Source organism: Homo sapiens, chromosome 10, assembly GCF_000001405.40.
Source record: "Homo sapiens chromosome 10, GRCh38.p14 Primary Assembly".
Lineage (NCBI taxonomy): Eukaryota > Metazoa > Chordata > Mammalia > Primates > Hominidae > Homo > Homo sapiens.
Window position 1 is genome coordinate 8,476,714 of NC_000010.11, and position 12,067 is coordinate 8,488,780.

Genomic DNA, 12,067 nt, shown 5'->3' on the forward strand with positions numbered 1-12,067 from the left:
CTTACTTTTGCCTTATTATCAATATGAGTAAAATGAAGGGTATGATTCAAATTAAGCTGACTATCTTGTTAGGGACATACCTAATCAGAGATATTATAACATTTATCTTGTGATATTAAGTTACAAACAATAATCTCTCTAACTGGATGAAATACTTTCACTGTGTGTATGTTTTCTTAGGTAGATATGAGAAACAGTGCAACGTAGCCTGAAGATCATAGAGCTGGGGCAATAGTGTATAGATTTGAATCCTGTCTTCACCAGCTCTGAGCTGTGTAAACTTTGGCTAGTTACTTAATCTCTTTTTGCCTAACTTTCCCATGTATAAAATAGAGATTAAAAAGTTACAATAAATAACATAAAAGTAAAGTGCTTAAAATCAATGGTATATATTATCAAAAATATAAATATAATATATAATAAACTTATTATTATATACTTTCTAATATAATCTTTTGTACTAAAAGATATTGTACTAAATAAAATTTGGAGTCTGAATTCTAATTCCCCATCTAAAAGAGGGAACTATAATTCGTTTTTAAACTTGTTATTATTGTATGTAAGAAAGCTGTTAATATTTGTGTATTTTATTACTAGCTATCTTATTAAACTTTCTTAGTCATTATAATAACTTTCAGCTGATTCTCTTAGGTTTTCTAGATAAATCATCTGTTGGCAATAATATTTTATCTTCTTTCCAAAATTTACACTCCATATTCATTTTTCTTGTCTTATTGCACTGTCAAGAGCTTCCATAACAGATTAGACCACAGTAGTTTCAGGCAGGTGGAGTGGTCTGTGTGTTCACCAATATTTGCTGCTTCTCCCAAGGCAGAATTATACTTTTCTATTCTATTGGTGTTGAATTTGGCCATGTGCCTGCTGCAGCCTATAATATGTGACACACTTTTGGAAAGAAGTTCTAAAAGCCAGGCATGATTCACCATATTGTCTTTTCCCTCCTTTAAGCGATTGTCAATATTCAGACAGAGGCTACTGCATTAGTCTGGTGTTGAAGTGAAGTCCTACAGAGCAGATTTGCAGCTGCCCATAACAGGCATGAAGTGTGGAGCAAACCTTTGTCTTAGAAAGCCATTCAGATTTGGGGATCATTTGTTAACTGCAGTAGACATCTTTAATTTAATTTTTCTCCTTAGCAATCTCAACTTTGTCTTCCTTAATGTCTTTTAACCAATTTTTAAAAAGTTATTCTGTCCCTCCAGATAAGAATAATTCTGAAATTATAAAGCATATGCAATGCAATTCTTATTTCAAGCAAGTAGGACTACACTTGGAATATACACACAATTGACAGGGTGAGAAGACTGAAGGTGATGTATTACAAAATTAAAGTCCTCTGAGCAGAAAAGAAAGAATTGTTCTCTGTCCCAATCTTATATTTTCATATAAGTTAGATGAATCATCAAGTTAGAGAATCACTGCAGTAGAACCAGTAGTTTCTGTGGTCACTATTTAGGCATCTTGACTGTATTATTTTTAAAGAGATTTTCAAAAATCTGTGGTTACCTTTGGAAGGTATAACTGGGAATTTTAAAATTTTTTTCTTTATGCTGTAGGATAATTTCCAAATTTTCTACAGTGAGTATATACATTACTTTTATAATTAGAATTTTAATATATATATTTAGATATCTAAATATAAGTAAAAATATAATAAATATGTTAGCAATGGGGTCTTGCTGCATGTGTTGCCCAGGCTGGTCTCAAGCTCCTGGGCTCAACAACTCTCTGCCTTGACCTCTTGAGTATCTGGGATTACAGGGGTGAGCCCCTGCTTTCGGCTTATAATTAGAATTTTAAAATCTTGGCCGGGCACGGTGGCTCACGACTGTATTCTCAGCACTTTGAGAGGCCGAGGTGGTGGATCACTTGAGGTCAGGAGTTCGAGACCAGCCTGGCCAACATGGTGAAACCTTGTCTCTACTAAAAATACAAAAACCAGCCAGGTGTGGTGGCACATGCCTGTAATCCCAGCTACTCAGGAGGCTGAGACAGGAGAATCAGCTTGAATCCAGGAGGTGGTGGTAGCAGTGAGCCAAGATCACGCCACTGCACTCTAGCCTCGGTGACAGAGTGACTCTGTCTCAAAAAAAAAAAAAAAAAAAAGAAAAAGAAAAACAAAATCTTTAACAGCGGCACCAAAAAGAGTTGGGTGTGAGGTGGGCAGCATGGTGGGGAGTTTAGGCATGAAGTGACAAGATTCACAACAAGAAGAACAGTTAGGAAGAGGTGGCCATTGTAATGAGACAGGTAGTTGCTCAGCTAGTGGCAGGGGACCCACAGTGGGAGGAGGAGGGGGGAGTGGAATAGATCTGATACACACTTGAGAGGTAGAATTAAATTTCACAGAATTTTATGATGGATGTGAAAGTAGGTGAGAGTTTAGATAAAGAGTTAAAGGGAGAGAGGAGTTTAAGATTACACCCATGTTTAGATAAGGAGAGACAAGGGAAGAAGAACCAATTCATAATGGGGCAACTTTAGGTGGAGATGCACGTGGGAGACATGTAAGACAACTGGAGTTTGTCATATCCCATCAGATTCCTTGATAGAATTTTTGTGGGTGGGAGGCCATTGCTATTTCTAGCATCTAACAACAGTTTCAGAAAAACTGGTATTTATTTTAGCAGGATCTTTCTGAATATTTTCTGGGGTAATCTTTTCCTGTTGTCGAGGCTGTTCTAAAAAGATTAGTTTCACATCTCTATAGGCTAACCTGGTAGCTGCAGAATATAGACCTCTGGGTATATTTTATTATTCCATCATTTCATTGACATGGAAATTAGGACGAAGACTGGGATTTATTGGTGAATGATTTTCTTCCCTATATGTACTGCAGCCATCTAGTTAGGTTCCATAACCATTTTCTTATTTAGGGCAGGAGTTCCTATCTTTGATTTTGCAATATTCAAGGATGTTTCCCTCTATCTTTAGGGGTGTGGTAGAGTTTTCAGATGTATAAAAATGTAGTCAGTGTTCATTCATTCCAGTTTAGCAGTCAAGTTTTGCATGGCAAATATTTAAAAGATAGAAATAAAGCATTTTCTCATGCTTGGCTTGATAATTAGATTGTGCAGCTCATCAGGTGGACAGTTATTATTATTGTCATTATTTTTTATTATTAAACCATATTTATTTAAGTTTATTTTATTTTAAGATCCAGGGTACATGTGCAGGATGTGCAGTTTTCTTACATAGGTAAACATGTGCCCTGGTGGTTTGCTGCACCTATCAACCCATCACCTAGGTATTAAGCCTGGCGTGCATTAGCTATTTTTCCTGATGTTCTCCAACCCCCTGCCCTCCCCTGAGAGGCCCCAGTGTGTGTTGTTCCCCTCCCTGTGTCAATGTGTTCTCACTGTTCAGCTCTCAGTTATAAGTGAGAACATGCAGTGCTTGGTTTTCCGTTACTATATTAGTTTGCTGAGGATAATGGCTTCCAACTCCATCCATGTCCCTGCAAAGGACACAATCTTGCTCCTTTTTATGGCTGCATAGTATTCCATGGTGTCTATATATCGCATTTTCTTTATCCAGTCTATCATTGGTGGGCATTTGGGTTGATTCCATGTCTTTGCTATTATGAATGGTGATGCAATGAACATACATGTACATATATCTTTATAATGGAATGAGAATTATTATTATTTTAATAGAAGAATAGAGATGAGGTCTTGCTATGTTGCCCAGGCTGGTCTTGAACTCCTGGCCTCAAACACTCCTCCCTCTTTGGCCTCTCAAAGTGTTGGGATTACAGGCATAAGCCACCACGCCTGGCCAAGGTGGACAATTACTGATCAAAAATCTCATACTTTGACTCAGTGTGGAATAGTGGAGAAGCCTGGGAATCAAAGCTCTCTTTCTGGGTCAGTACTCTGGAAAGACCCTGCATCTGGAAAGCACTTTGTGTATAGTTACTGAATAAATGAATACTTAAATACAACGTAATTTCTATGCCTTTCATGTTATCTGATCTTGTACATACTTTTCTCCCCTATGCTTCATCTTTTTTTCATACATACAATGGATTGGCAAAAGAATAGAATAAATGACTTATTTTATTGTTTGGGCCTCCTTTGATAGCTGAGTTCAACTGTTGTTTATTGTGAATTTCTCAGTTTTTTTTTTTTTTTAACAGAGTCTCATTCTGTTGCCCAGGCTGGAGTGCAGTGGTGTGATCTCGGTTCACCACAACCTCCTTCTCCTGGGCTCAAGCAATCCTCCCACCTTAGCCTCCCGAGTAGCTGGGAGAAGAGGTGTGCATCACCATGCCTGGCTAGCTTTTGTATTTTTTTGCAAAGACAGAGTCTCCATGTTACCCAAGTTGGTCTCAAACTCCTGAGCTCAAGCAGTCCTCTAGCCTCAGCCCCCAAAGTGCTGGGTTTACAGAGTTGAACCAGTGTGCCTGGCCCTTCAATTTTTAATTTTTTTAGTGATAAAACCTCTGAGGATGTACATTTCAGGTAAATTAAATTGGATGTTCTTTTTATATATATAGTTTGGTGAGGTAAATGATATTAAGTAACTACGATTTTGCTCTTAAGAAAACAAAAGCATCAAACATATTGATGCTTGTGTAAATAAAAGTTCAGCTTGCTTACTTGTTTTTGTTTTTTTCAAGCTCCTTGCAATGTAGTATTATCTTATTTATTTTTAATTTTGCTTTCCATGTAAACTGTCTGTTCTTAGAAACAATTTGGCAGTGAATGCCACTTTTTCCTGCCACTCTCAGACGTGCAAAATCATGAGAGATGAAAATAAGGAAATTGGTGTGATAGTCCCTGCACTGTTAACTGTTGCTAAGCAGAGACCTAGATCTATCTGGAATTTCTATAAGTTTTTAGGGAGTGCTTTGCTAGGCTGTAAAAAGTTTGCAATTGGAATTTCACTCCATTACTGTCTAAGTCTAACTGGCTTTATATTATCACAGAGCTGTATGTTCACAGCTGAAGCCACTTAGGAGAGGGTGGCATACACAATGCTGCAGAGAACTGTATAAATTTACTAGGGGTAAGGTATAAGTGCCTACTACATAGCCCTTCTGAAGTCTCTTCCAGATTGATTGAAGATTGAATCTTTAATTTACATTACTAATTAAAGGACTTAGCTTAATTGTTATGAGTTTGGGTTTTGCACAAGAGCTCAGAGAACTTAAGGCAAAGTACATGTCATAAATCAATCATACGCGTCAGTCAATGTGACATTTCTGAGTAGTCTGTGTTCCCGTGATGGCACTCCACCTGGGCCATTGTTCCTCAAAATAAAGTGACGGTAGAATCGGAGGAATGGTTCATGTATTCTCTCTCAAGAAAGATACCTTGCCTTAAAATAAAAGGTGATTGAATCATCGGCAAATCTGTGTTCACTCAAGACCATTTCTTCTGCTTTTTAATCTTTTTTTTAAACAAAATTGTTTTAACCCTGCTGTGGCAAGTTTGGGGCAATGCTCATAAATCTCATTCTATTTCCTTATGGCACACAGTCATGGAAATGGAGAAAGCCTTTACTGTGGAGAGCCAGCAAGCTTTGAGTTCAGGCGCAATAAAATTCCTTTTCATAAGTAGGATCTGGGAGCCCGTCAGCATTTCCTGCTTTGTGGATGTCAACATCTCCAGTAGGGCACTGCAAATATAATTCTAAAAGGTGTGCAGGAAGGCAGGAGATAGATAATAGGGATGCATGTCCTCTACGAGGTAGATCAGAACTGAAGTATCCCACTGTACGTTCTGCAGGCACCTTGGGGAAGAGAGAGCCCACATTCCTTCTGAGGCATCCTTTAAAGGAGGCAGGAGGAAGAGAAGTTAATACTCTCTCTCTCTGTCTTCTTGTGTCCAAGCCACTCTCCTTCCCAGGAAGAAGCTAAAATATAGAGAGACCATAGGATAGGATATTTTTCTCTCTCTCTTCCTTCCTTAATCCTTCCTTCCTTCCTTCCTTCCTTCCTTCCTTCCTTCCTTCCTTCCTTCCCTCCCTCCCTCCCTTCCTCCTTCCCTCCCTCCTCTCTCTCTTCTCTCTCTCTCTTTCTGTTTTTCTTTTTCTTTTTGATGGAGTTTCACTCTTGTCATCCAGGCTGGAGTGCAATGGCGCGATCTCAGCTTTCTGCAACCTCTGCCTCCTGGGTCCAAGCAATTCTCCTGCCTCAGCCTCCCAAGTGGCTGAGGTTACATGCACTCATCACTCCGCCCAGCTAATTTTTGTATTATTAGTAAAGACGGGGTTTCACCATGTCGGCCAGGCTGGTGTTGAACTCCTGACCTCAGGTGATCCACCCCCCTGGGCCTCCTGAAGTGCTGGGATTATAGGCATGAACCACCACGCCCGGCCAGGATACGTTTTCTATCACTCAAAAGTAAGGGGGAAAACGGAGAGCCTCCAAAGATGAGTCATAGTTTTTTATTCCACTCTTCATTATGGTTCACATGTCACTGGAGACACAGCCAGTTGCCATTGAGGGTCATTTGAAGAGGAGAGGAAGAAAAGTACTTTGGTACAGAGTAGATCCTTCATCTATATTGCTGATTGAGTGACGGTATTTTACTCCATTCCCTTAGCTTGCTGGGGTAACAAGAATGTGACTTGTATTTAGAAAAGTGTGTTCCTAGGATAATTTAGCAAAAATATTTTCCTTAATAATACAAACAAAGCAGCCAGGCATGGTGACCCATTCCTATAATCCTAGCACTTTGGGAGGCCGAGGCGGGCGAATAAACTGAGTTCAGGAGTTCAAGACCAGCCTGGCCAACATTATGAAACCTCATCTCTGCTAAAAATACAAAAAATAGCCGGGCGTGGTGGTGGGTGCCTGTAATCCCAGCTACTTGGGAAGCCCAGGCAGGAGAATCGCTTGAATTCGGGGGCAGAAATTGTAGTGAAGTGAGATAGTGCCACTGCACTCCAGGGTGGGCTACAGAGTGAGACCCTGTCTCAATAAATAAATAAATAAATAAAAATTAAAAAATGCAAACAAATCAAGCAAATATACTTTTAGCACTTCAGGAAGTGATAAATAAATATTTTGGTTTACAGTTCTATGAGTTTTATGAAATTTTAACCCCCACCACAAAGAGAATATCAAATAATCCTCATTCTCCCACCTCCCCGCATTGCTTCATGTTAACCTTTTGTACATAGATGTTTTCCCCATCTTAAATCCTAGGATCTGGCAAAGAGTTCTTAGATATAACACAAGAAATATTATCCATGAAAGAAAAAAATGATAAAGTGGGCTTCACCACAGCTAAGACGTTTGCTTCTTGAAGAACACAGTGAAGAGAATGAAAACACAAGCTACAGACTAGATGAAAGCTTCCGCAGATGTTCAAAGCCCTTTGAGAGAGAGAAACTGAATGTGGCATGATCTTTTTCTACCAGAAGCTGCAGTGGAACAGAGCCAGAGATCAATGTGTAATAAACAATATATGAAGGAGAACGTAATTAGTGCTAAAATAATGGTGGTACCAACGATGTGGCAGCCTTTTGGGGCAGAGGGGACACTATCGTAGCTTGCGAAATCAAGGGTGGTGCTGTGGGGCACAGAAACCCGTGAGAGAGAGCGTTCCAGAGGAGGAAAACCTGTAAGAAAAGCCACAGAAATGGGAAAATGCTGAGCGTAAACAGTAAAGTGTCAGAAATTTACTCTGGTTAGCTCCCAGTATCACCTCTGCGTCTTTCACGGCAGAACGAGAATGAATATATGTCTCCCAATACATGCAGAAACCCTCAATATCCGCACCTTCTAAGGTCTGTAAGGAAAAAAAAACAACAACAAAATAAAACACACCAAAAAAACAAAACAAAACAAAAAACCCAAAAAACAAACAACAACAACAAAAAACTTGCACTGCTGGGCGCGGTGGCTCATTCCTGTAATCCCAGCACTTTGGGAGGCCGAGGCGGGCAGATCACCTAAGGTCAGGAGCTGGAGACCAGCCTGCCCAACAGGGCGAAACCCCGTCTCTACTAAAAATGCAAAAAATTAGCTGGACGTGGTGGCCCTGTAATCCCAGCTACTTGAGAGGCTGAGGCAGGAGAACTGCTTGAACCCAGGAGGCAAAGGTTGCAGTCAGCCGAGATCGCGCCACTGCACTCCAGCCTGGGCAACAAGAGCGAAACTCTGTCTCAAAAAAACAAAACAAAACAAAACAAAAAAAACCTTGCACTTACCTTTTCTAAGTGACAATTACCCCAAAGAGTGGATTCACTGGTTATGCTGAAACATAGAAAACCATTTAGGGTCATTTAAAGGGAACTGAAATGTCAGGATGGTCCATTGGAAATGCAGATGTTAACTGCCCTAAGCACAATAACAAAATGATGAAGCCAATTAGGAAAGTACTGCTGAGAACTTCAGGCTTTGGTTAGTCACAAAGGCGGAGAAAAAAGACCAGGTTGTTTGATCTTGTTTATCTGGAGGTGGAGTCAATAATCTGTATAGTTTCGAATGGTCCTAAATGTTTTGGGGCACTTAGAGCCCTGCTGTGAACTCATTTGTTGTTACGCAATCTGCAATGGACTCGTCTCCACAAGTCATTTTCCTTGTGCTCCATCATACCTGGTACAAATGAAACACTGGTCTCTGTAATACTTAAGCATCTTTTTTGCTGGGCAAATTCCTGAAAGAACAAATTCTTTTGCTATTGGTCAACTGCTGAAATTAGCATAAAATCAGCACATAAATTACGTTAAACAACGCAGAGAGTTAGTATATAAGCGTATGTCACTTTCACGCTTATACACATATGTTCTGTTTCATATTTTCTCTAATTAAAAAATAAGATTTTATGCATTGGAAAGCTCTGATTTATGTCAGGTACAGTCTTCTGTCCGCCATATATTAGTAGATGTAAAAGAGATTTTTTAAGAATTTACATTCACATTTTTTGGTGTATAGTCCAATGTGTCTTAACATGTGCATAGATTCTCATGACTACTCCCACAAACAGGATACAGAATAGATTCAGCAACTCCTCTCCTTCCCTAATTTCCTCATTCTGACCCATTGTAGGTAAGCCCTCTCGTCATAAAAAAAAAAAAATAAGTTGGATTTCATGAAAGGTAAAAACATTTTGCTTTTCGAAGAACACACTTAAGAAACTGAAACAATAAGCTACAGATTGGGAGGAAATGTTGGCAAATAATGTATCAGACAAAAGATACATATCTGGAGTAAAGAACTCTCAAAACTCAACAATAAGGGAATAGACAACCTAATTGAAAAATGCATGAAAGATTTGAACAGAAGCTTCACCAAGAAGATAAAAGGTAGGCAAGTAAGCCAATGAAAAAATCATTAGTCATTAGGAACATACAAATGAACACAATGAGATGCCATTACGCACCTCTTAGAACAGCGAAAACGAAAAGCACCGAGGGTGCCAAGTGATGATGGATGTGAAGCAACAGGAATCCTCTTCCACGGCTGGTGGGAATGCAAAGTGGTCCAGCTGCTCTGGGAAACAGTCTGACAGTTTCTTACAAAGGTAAACATATGCATCCTTTATGACCCAGCAATATCATGCCTTGGGATTTATCTTAGATAAACAAAAACTTAGGTTCACACAAAAACCTGTGCATGAATGCTTTTAGCAGCATTATTCTTCATCTCTAAAACCTGGAAGGAATTCCAATGTCCTTCAAAGTGTGAATGGATAACCAAATCATTGTACACCTATACACTTAAATACATGAAATAAAACGGATGACTCTCAAAATAATTATGCCCAGTGAAAGAAGTTATATTCCATTTTGTGATAATGAGCAATTGATTCCTTTAAGAATATCTCTTCTCATTCTGCTTATTTCTTTTTTCTCCTTGTTCTCTCAGGCCTTAGCTCTTCCTTCTCCACACGTGGTGCCTCTCTTCTGAGAATTTCATTTGTGCATGTTTCAGGTACCTTTTGCTGCATGAAAAGCCACCTCAAATTTAGTGGCATAATATAACCATTTTATTATTCTCAGGAATTCTGTAGGTAAGGAATTCATCCTTACCCTGAGGCCATATTTTCTTGAAAAGGCCTTGGATTTTATCTTTGCCCTGAGGTTGGCCCTCCTTTCCCCTCCCCTCCCCTCCCCTTCCCTTCCTTTTTGAGACAGGGTCTTCCTCTGTAGCCCAGTCTGGGGTGCAGTGTAGAGAACATAGCTCACTAAAACCTCCAACTCCCATGTTCAAGTGATTCACCTGCCTCAGCCTCCTGAGAAGAGAAGCTAAAACTATTGGCATGTGCCACCATACCTGGCGATTTTTTTATTTTTATTTTTATTTTTCATAGAGACATGGTCTTGCTTTGTTGCCCAGGCTGGTCTAGAACTCCTAGTGTCAAGTAATCTTTCCACCTTGGCCTCCCAAAGCGCTGTGGTTACAGGCATGAGCCACTGTGCCCAGTTCATTTCTTATTTTGAGGACTCTGCTCTCTGTTACGGTCCTTTCAAGTTTCTTATCAGTTACATTTCCTTCTATTTACATTTCCTCTGAATTATACATTTTCTCCAAATTATGGAGTAATTCATTCTTTAGTTTATCTCTCTTACTCTCTCATTTTATTTTAGAGGGCTAAAATGTAGGCAACCCTTCAACGCTCTCCTGAAATTCTCCTTTATCTTCGTGGTTGAGTTTGTTAAGCACATTTTCCATGGGACAGTGTTGCAGAAGGCATTGCTGCTATGTAACAATGGCTCCTTTCTTAGCTCCCAACACCAATGTCTTCACTATCCTCCTTCAAGCCCTCATTGATAGCCTCCGGGAGGACTGTTTGGCTTCTGTCCTTCACTGTGCTCCAAAACCAATGCTGCAAATTTCGCCTTTTGTTATGGAGGAGACCCCTTCCGGGTACCAAATTAGCCTACGGTTTATTGCTGCCTGTCAAACCTTCCTAAGCTGTGAGTCATGATGCATCAACCATTTGATTTCACTTTTGCATTCTGTGCATCGGGAATTTGAACAAGGCATAGCAGGGATGCCTTATATCTCTTCCGTGTTCTATGGGTCCTGGTCAGGGATGTGTCGAATGGCTGAGATATGTTTCCAATGGAGGAAGACTGGAATTTTCTGAAAGTTTCTTCACTCACATGTCTGGGTCTTGGACTGGGATGACATAAGTCTTGTCTAATCTGAGACTCAAGCAGAGCACCTACCTGTGGTTCCTTCATGTGACTAGGGCTTCTTACAGCATGGCAACTGGGACCTTCCAGAGTGAGCACACCAGGAGAAGCAGGTGGATATCCTGTAGTCTTTCATGATGGAGCCTTGGAGATTCCACAGTGTCCTCTGCTCCCTGCCATTGTAAGACACACTTCTTCTCCAGCCATCAAAATCTTTCCTTCAAAGCAACTACAAACCCTGCCAGACTCATGGTTGGGGGATATAGATTGCCCCTCTCATTGGGAGAAGGATCAAAGAAGTAGCCGTCATGTTTTAGAACTCCTACCGTGCCTTGGCTGCATCTTTCTCCAAAAGCTGCGTCTCTACACCCAGATCTGTATCTCTAGTCTTGACTTTTCTCTTGAATGCTGGACTCAGAATTCACATGTCCAATAAACGTTTTATTGGAATTCACCAGCATCAAAAATAAACAAAATCTGACCTACCCAGAATCCTATTTCTTGGCATCTGAGCCCCTTAAGGAGAGTACATGAATTTATTCAACACAAATTGATTTAAAATAGCAGAAAGTCATAAGTCAGTTAATTGCCGAAACAATAAAAGAAACTGTTAAGTCAGTAATAGTATATCCTCTGGATGGGATGGGAGGGATACACGAAAAGTAATAAATATGAAGATTATGTAGCATTTTTGAAATATCACATGACGAAAAGAAAAAACCATCATGTGATATGCACTCTCACTGCAATTGTAAACAGAAAGATGTATATAAAAATATAGGAATAAAAAATGGAGGACAATTGGGCTGAAATGGTGACATTGTGGATAATTTATTATTTTTCCTCTTCCCACTTCTCAATTTTCTTTTATATTACTTTAGTAACAATAATAAATATATGAAAATATGTATTCTGTAAGCGTATAATATATACATTTTATATATGTTTT

General features: G+C 39.6%; 1 annotated feature.

The window, feature by feature from the left end:
• Positions 10,666–11,167: an enhancer, noted in NCBI's record as "NANOG hESC enhancer chr10:8529342-8529843 (GRCh37/hg19 assembly coordinates)". NCBI's record gives its function as "activates a minimal SCP1, AML or CMV promoter by ChIP-STARR-seq in naive H9 embryonic stem cells {active_cell/tissue: H9 hESC(naive)}" and the evidence as "EXISTENCE:reporter gene assay evidence [ECO:0000049][PMID:30033119]".